Below are 23,193 nucleotides of genomic sequence, written 5' to 3' on the forward strand. Positions count from 1 at the left end.
TATCATAAATGGGATTGTTTTCTTGCATTCTTTTTCTGTTAGGTCATTATGTGTATAAAAATGCTACTGATTTTGGTATGTTCATTTTGTATCCTGAAACTCAATTCATTTAGTGGTTCTAATAGGTTTTTGTGAAATCTTTAAAGTTTTTAAAAATAAGATAATGTCATCTGTAATAGAGATAATTTTACTTCTTTTATAATTTGGACGCTTCTTATTTTTCTTGTCTGATTGCTCTTGGTAGTACTTCTAGTACCGTGTTACATAGAAGTGGTGAGACTGGGCATCCTTGCCTTTGTCTTTTACTACATCTTAGGGGAAAAGCTTTCAGTATTTCCCCATTGATTATATGAGGAACTAATATTATATGTTAGCTGTGGGTTTTTCATAAATGGCTTTTAATATGTTGAGGACCTTTCCTTCTATACCTAAATTATTGTGAGTTTTTATCAAGAAAAAATGTTGGACTTTATTGAATGCTTTTCCCAAATCAATTGAGATGATCATGTGGTTTTTAATCTTTCATTCTGTTAAATCTATCACATCGATTGATATGCATATGTTACACTTATCCTAGCCAGACTTGCATGGCTAGGATAATTCTCATTTGGTCATGATGTATGATCTTTTTTATGTATTGTTAAATTCAGCTTGCTAATATCATATTGAGAATTTTTGCATTAATATTCATCAGAGAGATTGTCCTATAGTTTTCTTTTCTTGTGATATCTTTCACTTAGGTATCAAAGTGAAGATGGCCTCATAAAGTTTATTTGGAAATACTCCCTCTAGCTTTATTTTTTGGAAGAGTTGTATTAAGAAGCATTGGTATTAATTCTTCTTTGAAAGTTTGGTAGAATTCAGTGTGAAGCCATCTGGTCCTGGGCTTGGCTTTTCTTTGTTGGGCAGTTTTTTGTTTTTTTGTTGGTTTTTTGTTTTTTTGTTTTTTTTTTTTTGAGACAGAGTTTCGCTGTTGTTGCTCAGGCTGGAGTGCAATGGCGCAATCTCGGCTCACTGCAACCTCCGCCTCCCAGGTTCAAGCGATTCTCCTGCCTCAGCCTCCCGAGTAGCTGGGATTACAGGCATGCGCCACCACCCCGGCTAATTTTGTATTTTTAGTAGAGATGGGGTTTCTCCATGTTGATCAGACTGGTCTTGAAGTCCCGACCTCAGGTAATCCACCCGCCTTGGCTTCCCAAAGTGCTGGAATTACAGGCATGAGCAACCGTGCCCGGCGTTTCTTGGTTTTTTTCAGATGGAGTCTTGCTCTGTCGTCCAGGCCGTAGTGCACTGGCTCACTGCATTGGCTCATTTGGCTCACTGCAAACTCCGCTTCCCAGGTTCAAGCAATTCTTGTGCCTCAGCCTCCTAAGTAGCTGGAATTACAGGCACCCACCACCAGGCCCAGCTAATTTTTGTATTTTTAGTAGAGATGGGGTTTCATCATGTTGGCCAGGCTGGTCTCAAATTCCTCACCTCAGGTGATCTGCCCGCCTTGGCCTCCCAGAGTGTTGGGATTACAGGCATGAGCCACTGCTCCCAGTTTTTTATTACTACTTCAATCTCTTTATTTGTTATTAGTCGGCTCATGCCTTCTATTTCTTCCTGACTCAATCTTGGTAGGTTGTATTTTTCTAGGAATTTATCCATTTTTTCTAGGTTATCCAATTTATTGGCATATACTTGTTCATAATAGTCCCTTATAATCTTGTTTTTTATTTCTAAGACATCTGTTTTAATTTCTTCACTTTGATTTTTTGAGTCTTCTCTTTATCTCTTACATGATTTATCAATTTTATTTATTTGTTCAAAAAACCAACTCTTAGTTCTATTCTTTCTACGGTTTTTCTGTTCTCTATTTGTTTTATTTCGGTTCTGATTTTCATTGTTTCCTCCCTTCTGTTAATTTTGGGTTTAGTTTATGCTTCTTTTTCTAGTTCCTTGAGGCATAATGTTAAACTATATGGGATTTTCTTTTTTAATGCAGGCATTTGTTGTTATAAACTTCTCTCAGAACTGCTTTTGCTGCAGATGTGTTATGTTTCCATTGTTATTTGCCTCAAGATTTTTGTGAATTTACCTTTTGATTTCTTCTTTGATCCATCGATTGTTCAAGAGCATGTTGCTTAATTTCTACATACTTGTGAATTTTTAAAGATTCCTTCTGTTATTGATTTCTAGTTTAATACCTCTATGGTCTGAAAAAATACTAGATATGACCTTATAAGCTTGTTAAGACTAGTTTTGTGGCTTAACATATGCTCTATCCTGGAGAATGTTCCATGTACACTAGAGAAAAAATGTGTATTCTGCTGCTGTTGGGTGGAAAGTTCTCTGTATATCTGTTAGGTTCATTTGGCCAAAAGTGCAATTCAAGTCCAGTATTTCCTTATTAATTTTCTGTTCAGTTGCTCTATCAGTTGTTGAAAGTGGGATATCGAAGTCTCCTACTATTATTGTATTGCTGTCTGTTTCACCCTTTATGTTCATTAATATTTGTTTTATGTATTTAAGTATTCCAATGTTAGGTTCATATATATTTACGCTCATTGTGTCCTCTTGATGGATTGACCTGTTTATCATTAAATAATGAACATCTTTGTCTCTTGTGACAGGATTTGACTCAAAGTCTATTTTATCAGATGTAAGTATAGCAAGCTCTGCTTTTTTTTTTTTTTTTTTTTTTTTTTTTTGACACAGGGTCTCATTCCATTTTCCAGGCTGGAGTGCAGTGGCACAAACATTGCTTACCACAGCCTTGACCTCTTGGGCTCAAGTAATCCCCCTGCCTCAGCCACCTGAGTAGCTGGAACTACAGGTGCATGCCACCATGCTTGGCTAATTTTTAAATTTTTGTGTAGCAATGAGGTCTCCCTACATTGCCCAGGCTGGTCTCCAACTCCTGGGCTCAAGCGAGCCTCCCACCTTGGCCTTCCAAAATGCTGGGATTGCAGGTGTGAGCCACCATGCCTGGCCTCCCTGCTGTCTTTTGGTTACCATTTGCATATAATACCTTCTTTCATCTCTACTTTCAGCCTGTGGGTATCCTTAAAGCTTAATTCGTCTCCTGTAGATAGCATATAGTTGGGTCTTGTTTTAAAAATCTATTTAGCAACTCGATGTCTTTTGACTGGGGAATTTAGTCCAATTACATTCAAGATTATTATTAAAGGAAGGACTTACTATTTTTACTTTGTTATTTTATATCTGGTTGTTTTTTAGCATCTTTGTTTATCTCTGGTTGTTTTGTAGCACCTTTATTTGTTTTTTAATTAAAAAAATTTGATAATCCTCTGTAGTACTAAGCTTTGTTTTCTTTCTCTTTATTGTTTGCATAACTGCTATGGTTATCATGTGGCTTACGTAAAACATCTTATAGTTATAGTCAACTGTTTTTAGCTGATAACATCTGTTACGTGCAAAAACTCTAGACTTTTCTCCTCTACATACTGTTTTTTTTTTCTTTCTTTCTTTTTTTTTTTAAGAGACAAGGTCTTGCTACATTGTCTAGACTGACCTTGAACTTCTAGGCTCAAGTGATCCTCCCACCACAGCCTCCTGAGTAGCTGAGTTTACAGGCATATGCCATGCCCAGCTACACAATTTGTGTTTTTGATGTCACAATTTACACCTTTTTATATTGTATATTATTTAACAACTTATTGTAGCTTTTGTTATTTTTTTGACCATTTTGACATTTGACCTTTATACTAGAGATATGTATGCTTTACATATCACCAGTACAGTACTGGAGTATTCTAGGTTTATCTATATATTTATCTCTACTAGTGAGTTTTATATTTTCATTTGTATTCATAATAATTATTATCATCATTTTGTTTATACTAGAACTCCATGGCTGTGCATGGTGGCTCATACCTATAATCTCAACACTTTGGGAGGCCAAGACAGGAGGATCACTGGAGTCCAGGAGTTTGAGACCAGCCTAAGCAAGATGGCAAGACTCCATCTCTATAGTAAATAAATACATAAATAAATATTAGCTGGGCACAGTGGTACATGCCTATAGTTCCATCTACTTGGGAGGAATTCAAAGTGGCAGTGAATCATGATTGTGCCACTGAATTCCAGCAACAAAGCAAGACCCTGTCAAAAAAAGAAAGAAAGAAAAGAAGGAAGGAAGGATGGAAGGAAGGAAGGAAGGAAGGAAGGGAAGGAAGAAAGGAAGAAAGCAAGAAAGCCTAGCACTTTGGGAGGCCGAGGCAGGTGGATCACCTGGAGTCAGGAGTTTGAGACCAGCCTGGGCAACATGGTGAAACCCCGTCTCTACTAAAAATGCAAAAATTAGCCAGGTGTGGTGGCAGTTGCCTGTAATCCCAGCTACTCGGGAGGCTGAGGCAGGAGAATTGCTTGAACCCAGGAGGCGGAGGTTGCAGTGAGCCAAGATTGTGCCATTGCACTCCAGCCTGGGGGACAAGAGCAAGACTTCGAAGGAAAAAAAAAAGGAAAGAAAGAAACTTCCATTAGGCATTTCTTGTAGGGCAGACCTAGTAGTGATGAGTTTCTTCAGCTTTTGCTTGTTTGGGAAAAACTTTATTTCTTCTTCATTTCTTCATTCCTTTCAGCACTTTGAATATATAATCTTATTCTTTCCTGGCCTATAAGGTTTCTCCTGAGAAATCTATTGGTAGTCTAATGGAGATTCCCGTATATGTGACTTGACACTTTTCTCTTGCTGCTTTTAAAATTCTTTATTTTTCTTTAAATTTTGACAGTTTGATTATTATGTGCCTTGGTGAGGATGTCTTTGGGCTGTATTTATTGGGGGATCTTTCAGTTTTATGAATCTGCCCCTCTATATCTGTCCCAAGACTTGAAAGGTTTTTTTAGCAATAATTTCACTAAATAAGCTTTTTCGTTATCACTTCTCCTTCCTTAACTCCTATAATGTGAATATTTGTTCACTTAATGGTGTACATTTAGTTATTATAAATAATAATAACTAAAATAGTTAATCATAATAGTTAATATTTATTTAATACTTAGTCTTTTCTTTTCATTGAAACAGGGTCTCCTTCTGTCACCCAGGCTAGAGTAGAGTAGCATGATCATGGCTTACTGTTGCCTCAAGTTCCTGGGCTCAAGGGATCCTCCCACCTTAGCCTCCTGAGTAGCCAAGATTATAGGCACATGCCACCAACAGCTGGCTTTTTTTTTTTTTTTTTTTTTGAGACGGAATCTTGCTCCATCACCCAGGCTGGAGTGCAGTGGCGTGATCTTGGCTCACTGCAAGCTCTGCCTCCCAGGTTCATGCCATTCTCCTGCCTCAGCCTCCCGCGTAGCTGGGACTACAGGTGCCCGCCACCATGCCCGGTTAATTTTTTGTATTTTTCATAGAGACTGGGTTTCACTGTGTTAGCCAGGATGGTCTCCATCTCCTGACCTCATGATCTGCCTGCCTTGGCCTCCCAAAGTGCTGGGATTACAGGCATGAGCCACCGCACCCAGCCTAATTAAAAAAAATTTTTTTTGTAGACATGAGGTCTCCCTATGTTGCCCAGGTTGGTCTCGAATTCCTGGGCTCAAGCGATCCTCCCACATCAGCCTCTCAACGTGCTGGGATGACAGGCATGAACTATCACACCTGGCTAATACTTAGTATTTTCTAAGTGTGTCATGTATGAACTCATTTCTTCCTTATGACAATTCTATAAGTACAGGTTCATGATCTATTATTTACAATTCTGAAATTGAAAATGGTCTGAAAACCACACTTTTAAAAACTCACCTATAGTCCCAGCTACTCATGAGGCTGAGATGGGAGGACTGCTTGAGCCCAGGAGTTCAAGACCAGCCTTGGAAACAGCAAAATGCCATCTCAAAATATATATATTTGGCAGCAAATCCTGGCCTGAACTGGCATATGCCTATCTATAGTCTTTTACTTATTCCTCTTAGTATGGTTAGTCATACATTTTGCTGCAGCTCTATAAATATATTTGATTATAGAGTACTGCCCTACAAGCTGTTGGGATGCTGCATAATACAAGGTATATTCATTGGATTTCTTTTCAAAACCTAAATAATTCTTAACTCAGAAAACCATCTGGCAGGGGTGATGAACTGGTATAGATAACGGTGGTGAACTGGTACTATTATTATCCCCGTTTCACAGCTGAATAAATTGAGACTAGAAATTGCCACTTACTCAAGTTTCCATTGTTAACAAAAACAGTAAGCAATGTAGTTAATAATATTTTTGAGGGCTTCTCGTGGCAGTCACTTGGTTAAATGTTTTATGTGCATTAATTTAATCATCACCGCAACCCTATGAGTACTATTATTATCCTCATTTCCCAGATGAAGCTTAGAGAGGTTCTAAAATTCCCCCTGGAGACACTGCGATTCAGTGTGGTGAGAAAGGATTTAAAAACAAGCCGGTCCAATATCAATATATTTGATTATTACACTATCCTTTACAAATCTACACCACCAGTCCTTTCCTCTCTTCTAATGCCATTTAGACTATATACCCAATTATCTGATAATAAAAAGATTTAAAAAATATAACTAAGATCATTTTACTCACTTGCTTAAAACTCTATGACTTTCTACTTCATATGGAGCAAAGTCCAAATTCCTTACGATGATCCCTTTCTACTTCTCCCATCTCATTTCCCAACAGAGCAGACTTCTCTTACGCCTTTGCACTACGTATACCCTCTTCCTGGAAGGCTCCCAGATTGTCACACATTTAGCTACCTCTTGTCATTTAGGGCTCAGCTTAAGCTAATCCTGTTTTTCCCTGATTTACCCAGTAAGAGTAGGTCTTTAATCATACCATTAATTCCATCATTCTCTTTACATAGCACATAAATATATTTTCAATGTTTATCTATTTTCTTTTTCCTTTCCTTTTAATGTAAATTCAACCAGAGTAGGCACCTTGTCTGTTCTGGTTTCTTCAGAAGTTCCAGTCTCTCATATGGTAGGTGCTTAATTTTGGCTAAATGATTGCTGTACACGATCAGTAAAAAGTATCTGCTTGTTATTGAATGGTGGGAGATAAACTGATGAGGCAAGTAGGTGACTAAAGTGAAAATGTAAAGATATCTTGAACATCAACTTGATTAGATTTTAATAGCATGAACACCGCCAAGCAGAGTTTCTGATACAGAGAGGTGACAAACATTTGTTGAATGACTGGACAATAAATATTATTACTAGCTTGAATCTTGAGGCAAATTACTTAACCTTTCTGAGCTTAGTTTCCTTGTCTACGAAGATTAAAACTAACTTTTCAAGGCTTCCCTACAAATTATATGGATAATGCATGTCATGTGCCCAGCACACAGCAGGTACTTGTTAGTTTCTTTCTCTTTACATACATATATACTACTTTATGGTTTACAAAGTTCTTGTAAGCTCTTCTAGATTCATGACCTCATTTTATTCCCACAATCTTCTGCAGTACTTCTCATTAGCCTCATTTTACAGATGAAAAACAGACTCAAGGATTGAGACATAGCCTCTTCAGGTAATGAGAAGCCAATGGACATGCTTTATAAGCATAGGAGCGACATGATAAAAAGCAGTGAGGTTTTTTGAAGATTAATCTGTTGGCCTATAAAATGGGCTGAACTGAAAATTGGAGAAATATTATTTTGACTACTAGCATAAAAATCAAGTTTAAGGGCCGGGCGCAGTGGCTCACACCTGTAATCCCAGCACTTTGGGAGGCCGAGGCGGGCAGATCACTTGAGGCCAGGAGCAGGAGACAAGCCTGGCCTACATGGCGAAACCCCGTCTCTACTAAAAAATACAAAAAATTGGCCCGGCGTGGGGCTCGTGTGCCTCCCAGCTACTCGGGAGGTTGAGGCACATTTAGAATCGCTTGAACCCGGTAAGCGCAGGTTGGCAGTGAGCCGAGATCGCGCCACTGCACTCCAGCCTGGGCGACAGAGCGAAACTCGGTCAAAAAAAAAAAATCAAGTGTAAGATGATAAGGGCCTGGCAGAAGTGTTTAAAAGCCTAATGAACTTAAAAATATTGAAAAGCCAGATAAGTCCCCCAAAGGAACAAAAATTTAAAAATGGTAGTTTTCAAATCTGGCTGGCTGAGAAAATGATGGTACAAACAACATAAACAATTGAGAAATCAAACTTGGCAAAATCGTTGGTCAGAAGACCTTCTCTCCAATACCTAGGCAGAACTTCTGGCAAATAATGACAAACATCTGAGCCATTTCTTCAGTGTCATAGCGACTTTTTGCTTTCACTCCTCCCACTGGCTTCACCACCTGGACAAGAGCATGTTAAGGTCCTTCTGATCTTGCTTCCTAGATGCAGTACGGTGGGAAGCAGAATCTGGGTAGTGTGGAATTAGAAACCAAGCTTTCGAAGTTCCAGGACTTGGACTAAATCGCCTTTTTCCTTCTCTGTCAAATAAGGGGACCCTTACTTCACCTCCTTCCCTAGTTTTAAGACTAGACACCCTCTCCACATCAGCACAAAGCGCTTTTATTTAGGCGCGTGCCGCCAAACCAAAGGCGCTCGCGCCGAGCTAAGCTCCTGTCGGTGAGCTTACGTCACTTCCGGCGCGCTGACGCTCAGTTGTGCGTGCCGACGCCCGCGTCAGCAAAGAGCGGAGCTGAGGGTACCCGGTTTGAAGTCGTGCGGGTCGGAGGACTGCCGCCTCCGCTACCGTCTTGGACCCCTGCTTACCGGCCGCCGCGGGGACGAGCTCGGGTAGGCGGCAGGGCAGATGCCCGAGGGCCTGCGCTGGAACGCCCCACGCCGCACCGGCCGCTCCCCTGTGCTCCGCGGCCTGGGCCTGCGCCGCTCAGCTCTCTGGAAACTAGCGCCTCAGCTGCGCGGCGCGTAGGTCGCGGGGAGCTCCGAACCGCCGGCGCCCGGCCATGGCGGTCTCCAGGTGGGTCTTGCTCCTGACGAGCAAACTGGAAGGCGATTCAGGGAAGGCATGGTCTCCTCTTAGAGCCCCCACTCCTAGAGAAGAGCGGTTCTCATTGTCACTGGGCTCTGGAGCTTTCTTCAGTAGACTTCGGAGTTCGCCCCGTGGTCGGCGGGGGTTTGGGCTCGGGTTACTCCTGGGTAAATCGGTTCAATAATGCCTTTTTCTTGTTAATAGACCCCTTGGCACGTTAGAGCTGTTTTTTCTCTTTCCTCACCATGTTTCTGTTCTCTGGTTTCTCTTCCCTCTTTCGATTCTAGGGGAGTCTCTTATCTTTCTCAGTATTCTAAGGCTGGTCCCTAACCTCCATTTCATGGGAAAACTTGGTAGTTACTGTCGATGGAGGGGAAACCTGAATTACTATTATCTAAGAGACCGTCTAATTATGTTACCAGTTTTAATTTACGTTTTTAGGGGTATGTTCTTTCCTGAGATGTTTTTTAAAATTAAGTATAATTTCTCCTTTTGTTTGGCAGTAAACATTCCAACGTCAGCGTTGTAACCTTAAGCCAATTATCGTATTAGCATCATTTTCCGTAACTAAGGCGTGGAAGATAAATCACAGATCTTATATTCTTTTGAAATATTGCCTGTCAACAGGAAAGCCCAGGAAAACTATAGAAAAACTAACGACATTTATTTGTATAGCTATAGGAGAAACATTACTTTTTCCTCCGGTATGATAGAATGGTTGGAAAGCTTTTGTAAGCGGAATTTGGTGACCCTCTGTACATGTAATTAAGGGATAGTTCCTCTGTGATAGTGATCGGATGGATTCACCAAGTTCCTTAGAGTTGATATGGTAACTTTTAATGAGAATTGGATTCTTTTACCATATAGACTGAAGGAATAAATGATGAAAACAAATAGTTTTCATTTTTTTATAATTAACTGAACACATTCTTTGAGCGTATTAAGTGCACAAGTTTTATCTGTTTTGCAAGGGAAAGGATAACCCATTCCTTACAGACTCCCTAGATGACTGATGAAATAGTGTGTGGGAGAAGCCCATGGGAGTTGGGTGAAGGGGGTTGCTAGGTACCGTAGTATGGGGCATCTGATTTTTATTTTATAATCTATTCAATGTGAGGAAATTTTTTTTTAAATAAAACTGCCTTGAGAGAATACAAGTGACATTTTACATTTTTGCAAATATAGAAAGGTGTATCTTCTAATTTGTTACCTCCCATATAAATGCATGAATATATACATTGTAAATGCATTGATATGTAAACTTAATATAACATTTATCAGGTAATAGTGTTTAAGGAGATGAGTACTTCTTTTCTTAGAGCAACCTGTGCATTTTCACAGGATTGGATGTAGCTTTATAAAGACAAAATGAAAGTGTTTAAAAAGAACCTAATTTTCGGGCAACGCTAATCTCTTTTTTTTTTTTTGAGAAGGAATCTGGCTCTGTAGCCCAGGCTGGAGTGCAGTGGCGAGATCTCGGCTCACTGCAAGCTCCGCATCCCGGGTTCAGGCCATCCTCCTGCCTCAGCCTCCCAAGTAGCTGGGACCACAGGCACCCGCCACCACACCTGGCTAGTTTTTTGTATTTTTAGTAGAGACGGGTTTCACCGTGTTAGCCAGGATGGTCTCGATCTCCTTACCTCGTGATCCGCCGGCCTTGGCCTCCCAAAGTGCTGGGATTACAGGCGTGAGCCACCGCGCCCAGCCAACACTAATCTCTTTACGGAATTTTAGGACAGTTAATATTTCTCAATGACTGAGTGGGTTTTGAAGGTACTGTCTTTTGTTCTGGATGTTGTGTTTCAAAGAGTAGCACTCTTTTTCTGTGGATTTTTTTCTCGTTCACTTTTTTAAAAGCCTGTCATGTTTTTATGGAAGAGCTATTTCTGTGCTTAGTTTCCTTGGGCTCAGTAGTAAGCCCAAGGAAAACATTTTGAGACACTTGTGTGTTTTGGGGATAGTGTCAATTCTTGACTTTTTCACCTGTGGATTTCTTTGAATGGCAAATTTTAGTTTCAAGCTGGCCTTCTCCATGCACGAAGCACAGTTCTGTGCTAACTAAACTTCCTTTCTCTCCTGTTGGTGCAGACTCATTTTAATACTATTTTACGTAAAATAGGTGGAAAATAGCCCAGGAGATAAAAATCATATGCTAAAATCAAATCTAAAATATTTTTTGCACTGTTTATTTCATATGCATAACTGAAGAGAAACTGTAATATTTTTAGGACATTTCCACCAGAATTTCCAACAGATGGGAAATAGTAAGTTAGTACCATTATTCCCTCAATTGTCTGGTCAAGAAATTTGAGAATGTTCTTTGACTTCCCTTTTCCTCCCACACCCCATGTCCAGCCAGTTACCAAATCCAATCCTGTATATTCTGCCTTTCTAATCTTTCTCCAGCTGATCATTTTTCTTTCTATACCAGTTACCACAATCCTAGAACATGCCACCATCTCTAGTCCAAGACACCTTTAGAGAGACGCTTCCCTTTTGTCACTGTAAAGCTACATCCAATCTTTTGAAAATACACACTCAACCCTAGGAAAGGAAGTACTCATCTCCTTGAACATTGTATCACCTGATAAGTCTCATAGTAAGTTTATGTATCAATGTATTTGGTATTTGGACATGTTTAGTACAAGACAGGAGCCTCTCTCCTTTTCCTGCCTTCCATGGCATCTCATTTCAATCTGTTCTTCGCTTCAGTCATATTATTTACTGATTTGAAGATTTGAACATGAACATGGTAATCTTTCTAATTAATACCTTTAGTTGTTTCCTATTGCCTTAGGATAAAGTCCACATTCTCAAACAAACATATCTTACCAAGTCCTTTGTGATCTGGTTCCTGTGTCATCTTTTTAGATTCATCTTGTGTCAACTTCTCTGTACTTCCCCTTCACCTTCTTCTCTCTTCTATCCTCCACCCTCCCCAGAATTCATTTTGTTACCCCCTACTGTTTATCTTTGGAACACTTCTTAGCCCCATCTCAGGTATGGCTAGTTCTGACCTTAGTGTGTTTTTTTGTTTGATTTTTTTTTTTTTTGAGACAGAGTTTTGCTCTTGTTGCCCACGCTGGAGTGCAATGGTGCGTTCTTGACTCACCATAACCTCCACCTCCCGGGTTCAAACGATTCTCCTGCCTCAGCCTCCCGAGTAGCTGGGATTACAGGCATGCACCACCACACCCGGCTAATTTTGTATTTTTAGTAGAGATGGGGTTTCTCCATGTTGGTCAGGCTGGCCTCGAACTCCTGACTTCAGGCGATCCACCTGCCTCAATTTTTTGATCTAAGCTTATATATTACCTTGTTCAGGACATTTTCTCTGGTTTTACTTCATCTGAGCTATTTGCACCAATACATATTCCTATCAGTCATAATATTTATATTTTGTAATTGGTTAATTGTTCTCTTACTTGCTGGATTAACATAAACTCTGAGAGAAGGAAATGTGTCTTTGATTTTTCCATGCTCAGAATGCCTGGCTCCTAGTGGGTGTTCAGTACATTTAAAAAAAAAATGAATGAATGATTTTGCTTCTTGCTTTGGTACCTTTTGAGTTGCCATATGAGTTGCCTCATAAAGCAAAATAATGGTATTCAAAGATATAACAATTATTATTTAAATTATTCACAAGAAACACTGAAAGCCTGTAACATATACTAATTTGTTTTTTGCTGAGGTTGACTTTGTGGAAGCAAGTCAAGTAACTAGTGAATGACTAGCTGACTTTCCAGCATCCGCATCTTAGGGACAACATTGTTCTCTACTCCTACATTTGTAGGAGTATGATTTTACCGTAATTTGTGCATAGTAGACTATTTCCAGTGTTTTTCAGTGAGTACTTTTGAGTTTAACTGCCTTTTTTCTTTTTTTTTTTTTTTTTTTGCAGTAAGGAAAACTTTCACTATAGCTTTTTAATATTGGCCATTTTCTAATTTTAACAATCATCGGAATATTTTTTTCTTTTTAAAGCTATCTCCTATAGGAAGGCAATTAGAATAATTTTTGAAGTTTATAATATAGTAAATTCTGTGATAGCATGGCCATTTATAATGCAAAATTGATATGATGTATTTTATGTGGTCAAATTTTTTAGACCCTGCTTAATAGGCTTGGTTTTACTGTACTTTCAGTTGTAAGAATGTGGCAGATTATGAAATGCATGGCCAACTCTTGATCTGTAGCTGAATTACATCTTGCAAAAATAACTTTGTTACTCTCTAAAATTGTAAATACAATCATAGCATTTGAAGTTCTCTGTCAAATCCAGTGAAATATCACTGGAAAATGATATGACTCTTTTAAACCCTTAGTAAAAGACCCAAAATCCAAATGTAGGAGTAGAGAACAATGTTGTCCTTAAGATGCGGATGCCGGAAAGTCAGCTAGTCATTCACTAGCTACTTGACTTGCTTCCACAAAGTCAACCTCAGCAAAAAACAAATTAGTGTATGTTACAGGCTTTCAGTGTTTCTTGTGAATAATTTAAATAATAAGTGTTATATTTTTGAACACCATTATTTTGCTTTATGGGGCTTTTTCTCATTATCATGTGTTACTTAGTTGGGATTTTGCCACCAACGGTAAAAGCAACCTTTGCGATCGCAGCACTGCACTCCAGCCTGGGCAACAGAGCAAGAATCCATCCCCCCCCCCCCCGCCCCCCAAAAAAAGCAACCTGAGATGGATTTCTTTGGCATTTTTGTTGTTTGTTTGTTTGTTTGTTTTTGGAGGCAGAGTCTCACTCTGTCCTCCAAGCTGGAAAGCTGGAGTGCAGTGGCACAATCACGGCCTCAAGTGATCCTCCCACCTCAGCCTCCCCAGTTGCTAGGACCACAGATGCATACCACCATGCCTGGCTAATTTTTTTTGTATATTTTGTAGAAGTGGGGTTTCATCATGTTGCCCAGGCTGGTTGCAAACTCCTGGGCTCCAGTGATCCACGTGGCTTTGCCCCTAAAGTGCTGGGATTACTGGTGTGAGCCACTGCGCCTGGTTTAGGTTTATTCATTGGTGGGGAATCTGTAGCTGTGTTGGGAACCATGACTTAATACAATTTTTTAAACAGCTTGTTTTTGCTACCTTTGCCTGTTTATGCCACAATTAATGGAACTGATCATTGTATATTGGCTAGTTAATAGGAACATAGTTTTTCCTTAATCAGCTAGAGAAAGTTTCAGAAATATATAGTTTTCCCTCAGCGATCTGTGCTGTAAAGGTCATGTCTAAAATGTCTAGACAGTACTTATAATATGACTGTTTTAAAAGCCATACCTTAGATTTCTCACATATCTTTGCATTTGAAAATGTTACAGTGTTCAGAAAGGGTTCAGAAAAAACAAAAACACATCCTCTTGTGGAAGAAACAAATTGCTACATATAGCAGACCTTTGCTCAATTTTGTTAATTTTCTCTTTGCACTGTTGATACTTCAGAGCAACATTGTTTCAACAGGCCTATTCTGTCAAATAAAAGGAAGTTTCTTGATGTAGGGGACGTTCAGTGGGTCCTGGACAGGAAAATGTTAATGTAGAAAAAACTACCTTAATTACCAATAAAGGACAACACAGGTTTTCCAGGCCTATTCCTCCCTGTTAATTTATTTTTAATAATTTTTTTTTAATAGAGATGAGGTCTCTCTGTGTTGGCCAGGGTGGTCTTAAACTCTTGCCTCAAGCATTCCTCCCGCATTGGCCTCCCAAATGCTGGGATTACAAGCATGAGCCACCTCACCTGGCCCTTATTGTTAATTTCAATCCATTATAAGATGACAGAAGGAACTATTGTAAATTATAATTCATCAAATATCTCATACTTTAAAAATTTAGAGATAAACTAGAAAAAGTAGAAGAGGCATTAATCAAAGCTTTTCCATTTCAATCCCAATGGTAAATTCCTCCTTATTTCTTTGGCGTATTTCTCAAGGTACTAGTTTGAATTATTATTTTAAAAATTTTTTAATTGTGACACACATAAAAATAGACTGTTCTAACCATTTAAAAATACACTTTAAAATGTATTATGAATTTTACATATTAATACATAATATGTATTAATAAGAAGTTTTAAAACCACCCATACTGCTGCTAAAGAACCTAGATTAGTATGTACTATGTTTTGTCATTAAGATAAAGTCATGCAAGAGGCTATAGGTTGTTCGATCAGGGATGGAGGGTAGAAAAAAATGTCTTGAAGGAAATAGCATAGCTTGGTTGTACATTTTCACCATTCTTCATTTAACCAATATTTACTGAGTGCTTTCTATGTTATAGGTGCTAGAGGTATAGCAGAGAAAAAAACTGTACTCTCCATTCTCATGGAGTTTATGGTCCAGGGTAGAGTGGGGTAACTTATCTAGCAAGCACCTGCCCTTACACCTGGCTTTGGTATGGTTTCACACCTTCATATTGATTCTTAGTGTTCTGTGTGATATCTTTATGTTTAAAACAACATAACATTAACATAGTTTCAAATTACCCACAACATGACCTAGAAAGTATATGTTTAAAAACACTAGAGAATTTGTTGGAAGTTGTTTCTTTTGACCTTAATGATAATATGTGCACTGTACTAAGTTCCACGTATTAAGTACACACTGTACACTATACTAAGTAATGGTCATTATCTTTCCTTACTTCCTGAGTAACACAGAAAAGTAAACATTCAAATCATCTATATTTAAAATTTTACTGTACTTTTGCCACGTGTAAAAAATGTATAACTAAATGGCTACTCTTGACTGGTCATGCTTTTTTAGTTAAGGCCACAAAGCTGTCTTTTTGAGGTATTCTGTCAGTTGACCTTTCCTAATTTATCAGAGAGGTTAAATATATTTTGAAAATATCAGTGAGGCTTTTTGCCCCTCCCCTCCCGAGATGTTTTAGAGTGGAAATACAGTATGTATTTGTTTATTAACTATGACGTAGTAATCTAGGACATGTTTTATTGTTTAAAATGCATGACATTTCTTTCTGTTTATTTTTATGGCTTTACTGTTATGAATTAACATAATGCAAACATCTGGAGAGGAGAGGGGTTAGATTGCAACTGCTAGCATAACCTCTACTACTATGTACTCTTTCCTTTTTCTAGGCAGTCTTTAGAACAGTTGCCTGAAATCACAGGTTACATGAATCATATCTTGTTTAGCTAATTCTCGGAATTGACATCCAGATTGAAAATGGGCCAGATTTCTTATTCTCAATAAATTTATAACCAGTGGATATTACAAAATATAATTTTCTTATGTTTTACTTATCTTCTATAGTCTTTGGTACCTTCCATGCAACTTGACATCTGTTACCTGTGTCTCCTCCATCTGTCTGTCTATCCTTCAGAGAATGAAGAATGTTACTTTTTCCTGCTAGCTGTGTGCAACAGAAGTTTTAGCCAAAAGTAGTATGGGAGTAAGTACTGTGTTCCCTCAGTCAGCCCTCCTTTTAACTTTCCCTTCTCTTCTGACCATCTAGCTTCCTTCAGACCTCTCCCTCACCAAGGGCCCTGTCTACCCTCCAACATAATACTGACTCTGTCTCACGTTCTTTTCCTCTTCCCCACAAGTTCACTGTACCAGCCTTTTCCACCGTGGCCTGGCCCTGATGCTTACCCTGCTTGCCTCATAGCTGGCTATCCTGAGATAACAGGTCAGACTGCCCTCTTGTCAGATCTTTGTCTGCTCATCTCTTTGTTCTTCCTTTTATGTGGTGTCCAATCTGCTGTCCTGAAGAGAGGAATGGAGAACTACGAAAGTGGCTTTAAATCAAGAGAATCAAAGAAGCATTCTTGTGTCTCCATTCCTCTATTCAGGGAGGCAATTTTGGTTACCATCCAAAGTGGAAGAAGTAAGGATAAACAGGCTTGGAATGGATGAGAGAATGAGCTGATCTGCTACCCTCAGGGCATTTGGCTGGTGGGAGAGCAGAGGTGACCTGACATAGCATTGGGATAAAAGGATCTGCAAAAAGGAGAATCAAGAGGAACTGTGTGTCTGTGGGACAGTATCAGCAATTAGGTTAGAGAGGAGTCTAAGGTCTTTGGGCAGGAGTTCTAAGTGAAGCTGGGTAGCAGAGGACCAAAGGAAAAGTTTAAGAAGGATGGAAATTATTGAAGGAATACAGTGCCTATTGCATGGCATTTTTCAGCTTGCTATTTGGGACAAGCGTAACTGCCTCATTCAGAAGGCTGAAGTACTGCTGTGCTGATCTTTTCAGTTACTGAAACATTACATTACCAACTGATTTTTTATGTAAAACTGCTGTCACAGATTAAGGATGTTTCTCAAAGGAAGCAGGAAAAAAAAAGGTAATATAAAATATTTTTTCTTTCCTTAAAGTTGGTTCTTAAACTTGTCCCCAAGAAACTTGAACTTTTCCTTAAGTATAGTTTTAGTTACAGTAAATGTCAACTACATAACAAATATTTGAATACTGTGCAAAGTGTTGTGCGAGACAAAAAGAATGATTGAAGGAGATGAAGCCTAATGAGGAAAATTAGACCTCATGTGACAAATTAATGTGAGAGATGCCACAAAAAAATATAATAAATACTTAAGTAGCTGTTCAAGATGAGAATTCATGTGGATTTCAGAAAAGGAAGTAATCTCTGTTGCATAGTAGTTTGAAATGGTTTCAAGAAGGTGAAGAACTTCAGCTGAATCCTGTTGGATGGGAGCTAGCTGAACAGTTGAACAAAGAGAAAAATACTTTATTTGTTTGCTGTAGCACATTTTATTCTCTTGTTAGAGAAGCAAGCTCAGGCACACCCGAAGATCACCTCTAGTGGTGTATCTGGTTAAATTCCAGGTGATATACCCATATTCTCAGCTGTGCCTCCCACCAACAGTTCCCAGTCTCACACATGGGGCCATTATATCTGCACAGCTGCCTGCTGTTGCAGTGAGGCAGAGTACATACCCACTGCAACCCCAACCAGTGACCATTCTGGGGATCTGGCAGAAACTGGCCAGGAAACCACCCCCTTGAGGAGGGGTGAGCCACTGTAACCCTAGCTTGAAGGGGTGTGAGAGACATTCTGAGTGGAGGAAACAGTATAGGTAAAATTGTGGAAACCAAAAATACCCACATTTGGGAGATACTTTTTGTTTTGGATTACTTTCTGGTAGGTAAGTGTGAGCCATTGAAAGTTTTAAAGTAAGGTAGTGATTTATTCGGGGGCGTTTTAGGAAGTTAATCTGGCAACAGGATGACAAGGCAGTTGGGAGTGTGAAACTGGCACTCTCAGATGGCCTGGATTTGGGGAATATTTGTTCTGGATATAATTTAAACAAATAACAGTATACAGTTTCCTCAGGGAGAAACTGATGAGAGTTGAGCAGTCAAGGATTGAATATGAGTATTCTCCCGATATTCATATTAAGAGTATTAAGAATAGGAGAACTAAGGAAAGAAGAGTTTGGAGAACAGGGTAATATAATGTGCAACTTAGGAAGGAAAGTATTGTAAGAATGGGGTGCTTGCTGGTCGCAGCTGTCAAAGAAGAGTCAAGAAAAATTGACCTTGTAAAAAACTATTGGATTTGGAGCCTAAGAGTTCATTGGTGACCTTCAGGTGTGGTATTTTGGTGTAGAAAGATGGAACCTTGATTTATATGGATTAAATTGTGTATGATGAGGAAATAATATTTTAAACACTTGTTCAAGATGCTTGGCAGTTAAAGTGTTCTAGAGAGTGGAGATCAAGCAGTTTATTTTCTCAGTAGAGAGAGAGCTCTGCATATTGGAAGAAGGGAATGGATTAGTAACACTGATTTGAGATATTGGAGAAAGGATGATTGAATAAGGATAGAAGGGGGATGGTATCAAGACAAAAGTAGGTCAAGAAACCATTTTTTCCCCTTTCTTGGTCCTACTATCTGTCTGACTGACTGTTCACCAATCCTATAGCAAAAGCCAGTGAATGAATGGGTAAAGGCAAGTGTTTAGATAGCCTTGAATGAGGAAGGAGAAATATGGTGTCAAAAGATTGGATATGTCTGTGTATAGTGTATGTGTAAAGTAAATTAATTTTAGAATGTCATTAGAAATTAACTGTGTTGTATTACTCTCTTTGTATGACTAGCTTCATAGTTTGAGGTCTTAGATTTAAGACTTTAATCTATTTTGATTTAATTTTTTTTTTTTAAGACACAGTCTCACTCTGTCACCCAAGCTGGAGTGCAGTGGTACAATCTCAGCTCATTACAACCTCTGCCTCCCGGATTCAGAAGCAATTATCCTGCCTCAGCCTCCCTAGTAGCCGGGACTACAGGTGGATGCCACTACACCTGGCTGATTTTTGTATTTTTAGTAGAGATGGGGTTTAACCATGATGGCCAGGCTGGTCTCGAACTCCTGACCTCAAGTGATCCTCCCACCTCCACCTCCCAAAGTGCTGGGATTACAGACATGACCACGCCCAGCTGAGTTTCCTCCCATTTTACTTCATGTATCACACTGCTGCCAGATTAATCTTCCTAAAGCATAGTTTCAGTTCCATTAGTTTCTTGACCCAAGACCTTCATGGTTGCAAGTTCATTAAAAGGTCTCCACGGTAGGGTTCCAGCTACTTCTGTAGCTGTATCTCCCACTCTTCTCTTAAGTGTACCCTGAATTGCAACCAAACTGTTATTCATTTCCCTAAATATACTCTCCCTTCTCTTATTGTTGTGTTCTTGTTTTCCTTCTTCCGGGTATTTCTTCCCCTTTCCCTTTCACCACCTAATCTCCACCAGTGTTAAAATTATTTTCTACCACTAAGATCCATCTCATACACCATTTATTTTATGAAGCCTTTTCAGTATTACATAGTTGGGGATATAATATTCGCTCCTTTCTTTCATAATCCTCAAAGCACTTTGTACTTTTTTTCCTGCCATGTATCTTATTGTACTTGACTTACCTGCTCCCTTCAACCCCAGTAGCAAGTTCCTTAAGAGTAGAGATTAGGCATCTCTTGTAGTCCTAGCATAGGTCACTTTTATTTTTATTTTTGCAATTTTAGAAAAAGTATTATTTTAATTGACAGATAAATGTACATTATTATGGGAGTAGTGTGATATTTTCATACACATATACAATGTAATGATCATATTAGCATATTATTCACCTTAAACATTTATCATTTCTTTGTGTTGGGAACATTCAAAATGCCTCTCTTCTGGCTATTTGAAAATATACGGTAAATTGTTGTTTAGTCACTCTGCAGTGCCACAGAACACTAGAACTTGTTTCTTCTATTTAGCTGTAAATAGACGGTTAACCAGCCTCCCCCATCCCTCTTGCTTTTCCTACCCTTCCCAGCTGCTAGTAACCACTTATTCTACTCTTGACTTCTCTGAGATCGACTTTTTAGCTTCCATTTATGAGTGAGAATATGCGGCATTTATCTTTCTGTGTCTGGCTTATTTCACCATAATGTCTTTCCGGGGCTCATTTATGTTAGCGTAGGTCTTCATTCATAGCATCTGCTCAGTACGTTTATTGACTTAAACTTGTACATACGAGGAAAAGCATTTGAGAATAACCATTGTATTTTTGTTATTTCAGGCTAGATCGCCTTTTTATTTTACTGGATACTGGCACTACTCCTGTTACAAGAAAAGCTGCTGCACAGCAACTTGGAGAAGTGGTGAAGCTTCATCCCCATGAACTAAATAATCTCCTGTCTAAAGTAAGAACTTTTTTTTTTCTTTTAGCATAATACAATTGTAGAGACTTATTCATGGATAGGAACACAAAAATAAAGGTAAACATCATCTTAATTTTTAAACATTTTTGCTATTTCTTTTTTTTTTCTGGTCACAAGACTTAAACTTTTTTTTTTTTTAATCAAGTTTAGTAGCTTAAGGGATTTGAGTATAGATCGTTTTGCCTGTGGCACAAATTTGAATCTGTCCCAGTTTGGTAATAAACTAAGTTGTTTATCTGGTTTGTTAGTAGTCTAACTTGTTCTTAATGACTAATAATTATATCATAGTTGGTAGTCTTCAAATGGATGAGTACTCATGGGCAATGATTGAAATACATGAGAAGCTGGAGTCTTGTTACATTCTAAGTTATCAGCTGTTTGAAAATGGAGGCTTTCTGCTTTGGTGTATCAGTGTTTTCATAATCCTAGTCCATTTTCTTCCCTTAAGCAACTGCTGTATTTTTACTAAACTCTGTATGCGTATTGAAGTGTACCTGTATGGTAATAAGTGGCAAATTCTACACATTTAATTTCCTGATGTGCAGAGTAAAGCAGGAGTGCTTTGTATAGGAGGAGGGGAGTTGGGGAGGTAGATACAGGATAGGGTAGGGGAGCAATATGATTGCCCAGATATAGGGAGCCTCAGGATCTCTCTCTCTTTTCAGTTTGACCCCCTTTTTTCATTCTCATCTGCCCATCTCTGTTGAGTATGAGTGGGAGTTCTAAGCCCTTTCTCAGCATACACATCTGTACTGTGTGGTTGCTACCACAAGGACTAACAGTGACTCTCTTTCCAACATAATTCCCACTTAGATATTATCAGAACTTTCTAACTAGGATGTAGATGGAGAGACAGTGATTTGATACCTACAGGCTCCACGTTCTTAGAATGAAGAAGGATGCATATTAGGCAGTATTCGTGTGTAAGTTGGTGACAGAGAGAGGCAACACCTTTCTTCTCCTTAGCCCAGGGGAAGAAATGGAGGACTGAATGACCTGAAACTGTGAAACAATGAACAGGCCTCATCTGTGCTGAACTGAGAAAAGTTTTCCAGCCTTCCCAGTGAGTTCTGGTCTTCTTCACTCAGACCTCAGCATATTGGCTACCATCAAATCATTCCCAAAGAGGCGAAGTTTGCCTTTAGCACTGTCTCACCGTCTTTCCTTTTTCCTCGGCTGTCAGCGTTTTCCTGTTGCCCATTGGTTTTGTTTTCTTTTTTTTTTTTTTGAGACAGTCTCAGGCTGGAGTGCAGTGGCGCGATCTCGGCTTACTGCAACCTCTGCCTCCTGGGTTCAGGCGATTCTCCTGCCTTAGCCTCCCGAGTAGCTGAGACTACAGGCGTGCACCACCATGCCCAGCTAATTTTTGTATTTTTAGTGGAGAGGGGGTTTCACCATGTTGGCTAGGATGGTCTTGATCTCTGGACCTCGTGATCCTCCCACCTTGGCCTCCCAAAGTGCTGGGATTGCAGGCGTGAACCACCGCTCCTGGCCGGTTTTGTTTCTTAAACAGCTTTATTAAAATATAATTTACATACCATGAGTTTCAATTTAGTGGTATTTAGTATATTAACATGGTGTACAGCAGCCATCACCGTACTCTAATTTTAAAACATTTTATCACCACAAAAAGAAACCTCATACCTACTAGCAGTCACTCTTCAATACTCCTTCACTCATGCCCAGATCCTCGACAACCACTAAACTAACTTTATAGGAAGATTTGCCTATCCTGAACATTTTATATAAAATGAATTGTAATCTATTGTGATCGATTTCTTTTGCTCAAAATAATGTTTTTATATTGTAGCATGTATATTCATTCTTATTGCCAAATAATATTCCATTGTGTGGATATACATGTGTACATCTTACTGATTTTTTGGTTGATGAATATTTGGGTTGTTTTCACTTTTTGGCTACTGTATTATGAAAAATGCTGCTATGAAAATTTGTGTACAAAATTTTGGAGGTTTTTTTTCCATTCTCCAGAGTATATATATACCTGAGAGTAGAATTACTGTACCATATGGTAACTTTATGAGGAACTGCCAAACTATTTTCCAAAATGGTCCCATTATTTACGTTTTCAACAGTAGTGTATGAGAACTTAGATTGTCCACATCCTTGTCAATACTTCTTGACTGACTTTGATTATAGCCATCCTGCTGGATATGAAGGGGTTTGATTTGCATTTCCCTGATGACTAATGATATCAGGCATATGTATTTATTATTCATTTGTATGTCTTCACTTGATCTTAGCCAAAAAGCAGAGAAGCAATACATTTGTATATCTTCTTTGGAGAAATGTCTACTCAGATCCCTTGCCCATTTTAAAATTGGGTTATCATTTTATTATGAGTTGCGAAAGTTCTTCATATGGTATAGTTCTTCATATACAAGGTATCCAAACTATACAAAGGTATATGATTAGGAAATAGATATTTGATTTGGAAATATACTCTTCTATGAGCTGTCTTTTTACTTTCTTGAACATCACTTCTGCTTTTGGTGTCATATCTAAGAAACCATTGCCTAATCCAAGGTGACAAAGATTTACCCCTAAGTTCTCCTCTAAGAGTTTTATAGTT

At 38.8% G+C, this 23,193-nt stretch overlaps 1 protein-coding gene across 17 annotated transcripts in view, besides 4 other annotated features; it reads left to right on the forward strand.

The window, feature by feature from the left end:
- Nucleotides 7,314-7,847: an enhancer, noted in NCBI's record as "H3K27ac-H3K4me1 hESC enhancer chr10:93682269-93682802 (GRCh37/hg19 assembly coordinates)". NCBI's record gives its function as "activates a minimal SCP1, AML or CMV promoter by ChIP-STARR-seq in naive H9 embryonic stem cells {active_cell/tissue: H9 hESC(naive)}" and the evidence as "EXISTENCE:reporter gene assay evidence [ECO:0000049][PMID:30033119]".
- Nucleotides 8,195-8,304: an enhancer, noted in NCBI's record as "active region_3765". NCBI's record gives its function as "activates an Ori minimal core promoter by ATAC-STARR-seq in GM12878 lymphoblastoid cells {active_cell/tissue: GM12878}" and the evidence as "EXISTENCE:reporter gene assay evidence [ECO:0000049][PMID:35858748]".
- Nucleotides 8,555-8,854: a silencer, noted in NCBI's record as "silent region_2611". NCBI's record gives its function as "represses an Ori minimal core promoter by ATAC-STARR-seq in GM12878 lymphoblastoid cells {active_cell/tissue: GM12878}" and the evidence as "EXISTENCE:reporter gene assay evidence [ECO:0000049][PMID:35858748]".
- Nucleotides 8,572-23,193, forward strand: part of BTAF1 (B-TFIID TATA-box binding protein associated factor 1) — a 107,668-nt gene continuing 93,046 nt past the window's right edge. For 14 of the 17 annotated variants that reach the window (NR_165102.1, NR_165094.1, NR_165091.1 and 11 more), the window contains exons 1-2: nt 8,572-8,892; nt 20,459-20,582. Coding sequence is in view for 3 of the 17 variants with exons in the window: in NM_003972.3 (NP_003963.1) it covers nt 8,879-8,892; nt 20,459-20,582 (138 nt within the window). In the remaining 14 variants the exon portion in view is untranslated. Of the gene's footprint in view, nt 8,893-16,183; nt 16,323-20,458; nt 20,583-23,193 lie in introns of all 17 variants that reach the window. The other 3 variants (NR_165093.1, NR_165097.1, NR_165099.1) reach the window with 2 other exon arrangements.
- Nucleotides 8,915-9,114: an enhancer, noted in NCBI's record as "active region_3766". NCBI's record gives its function as "activates an Ori minimal core promoter by ATAC-STARR-seq in GM12878 lymphoblastoid cells {active_cell/tissue: GM12878}" and the evidence as "EXISTENCE:reporter gene assay evidence [ECO:0000049][PMID:35858748]".

The sequence above is a fragment of the Homo sapiens genome, chromosome 10 (genome assembly GCF_000001405.40).
Source record: "Homo sapiens chromosome 10, GRCh38.p14 Primary Assembly".
NCBI classification, from domain to species: Eukaryota; Metazoa; Chordata; class Mammalia; order Primates; family Hominidae; genus Homo; species Homo sapiens.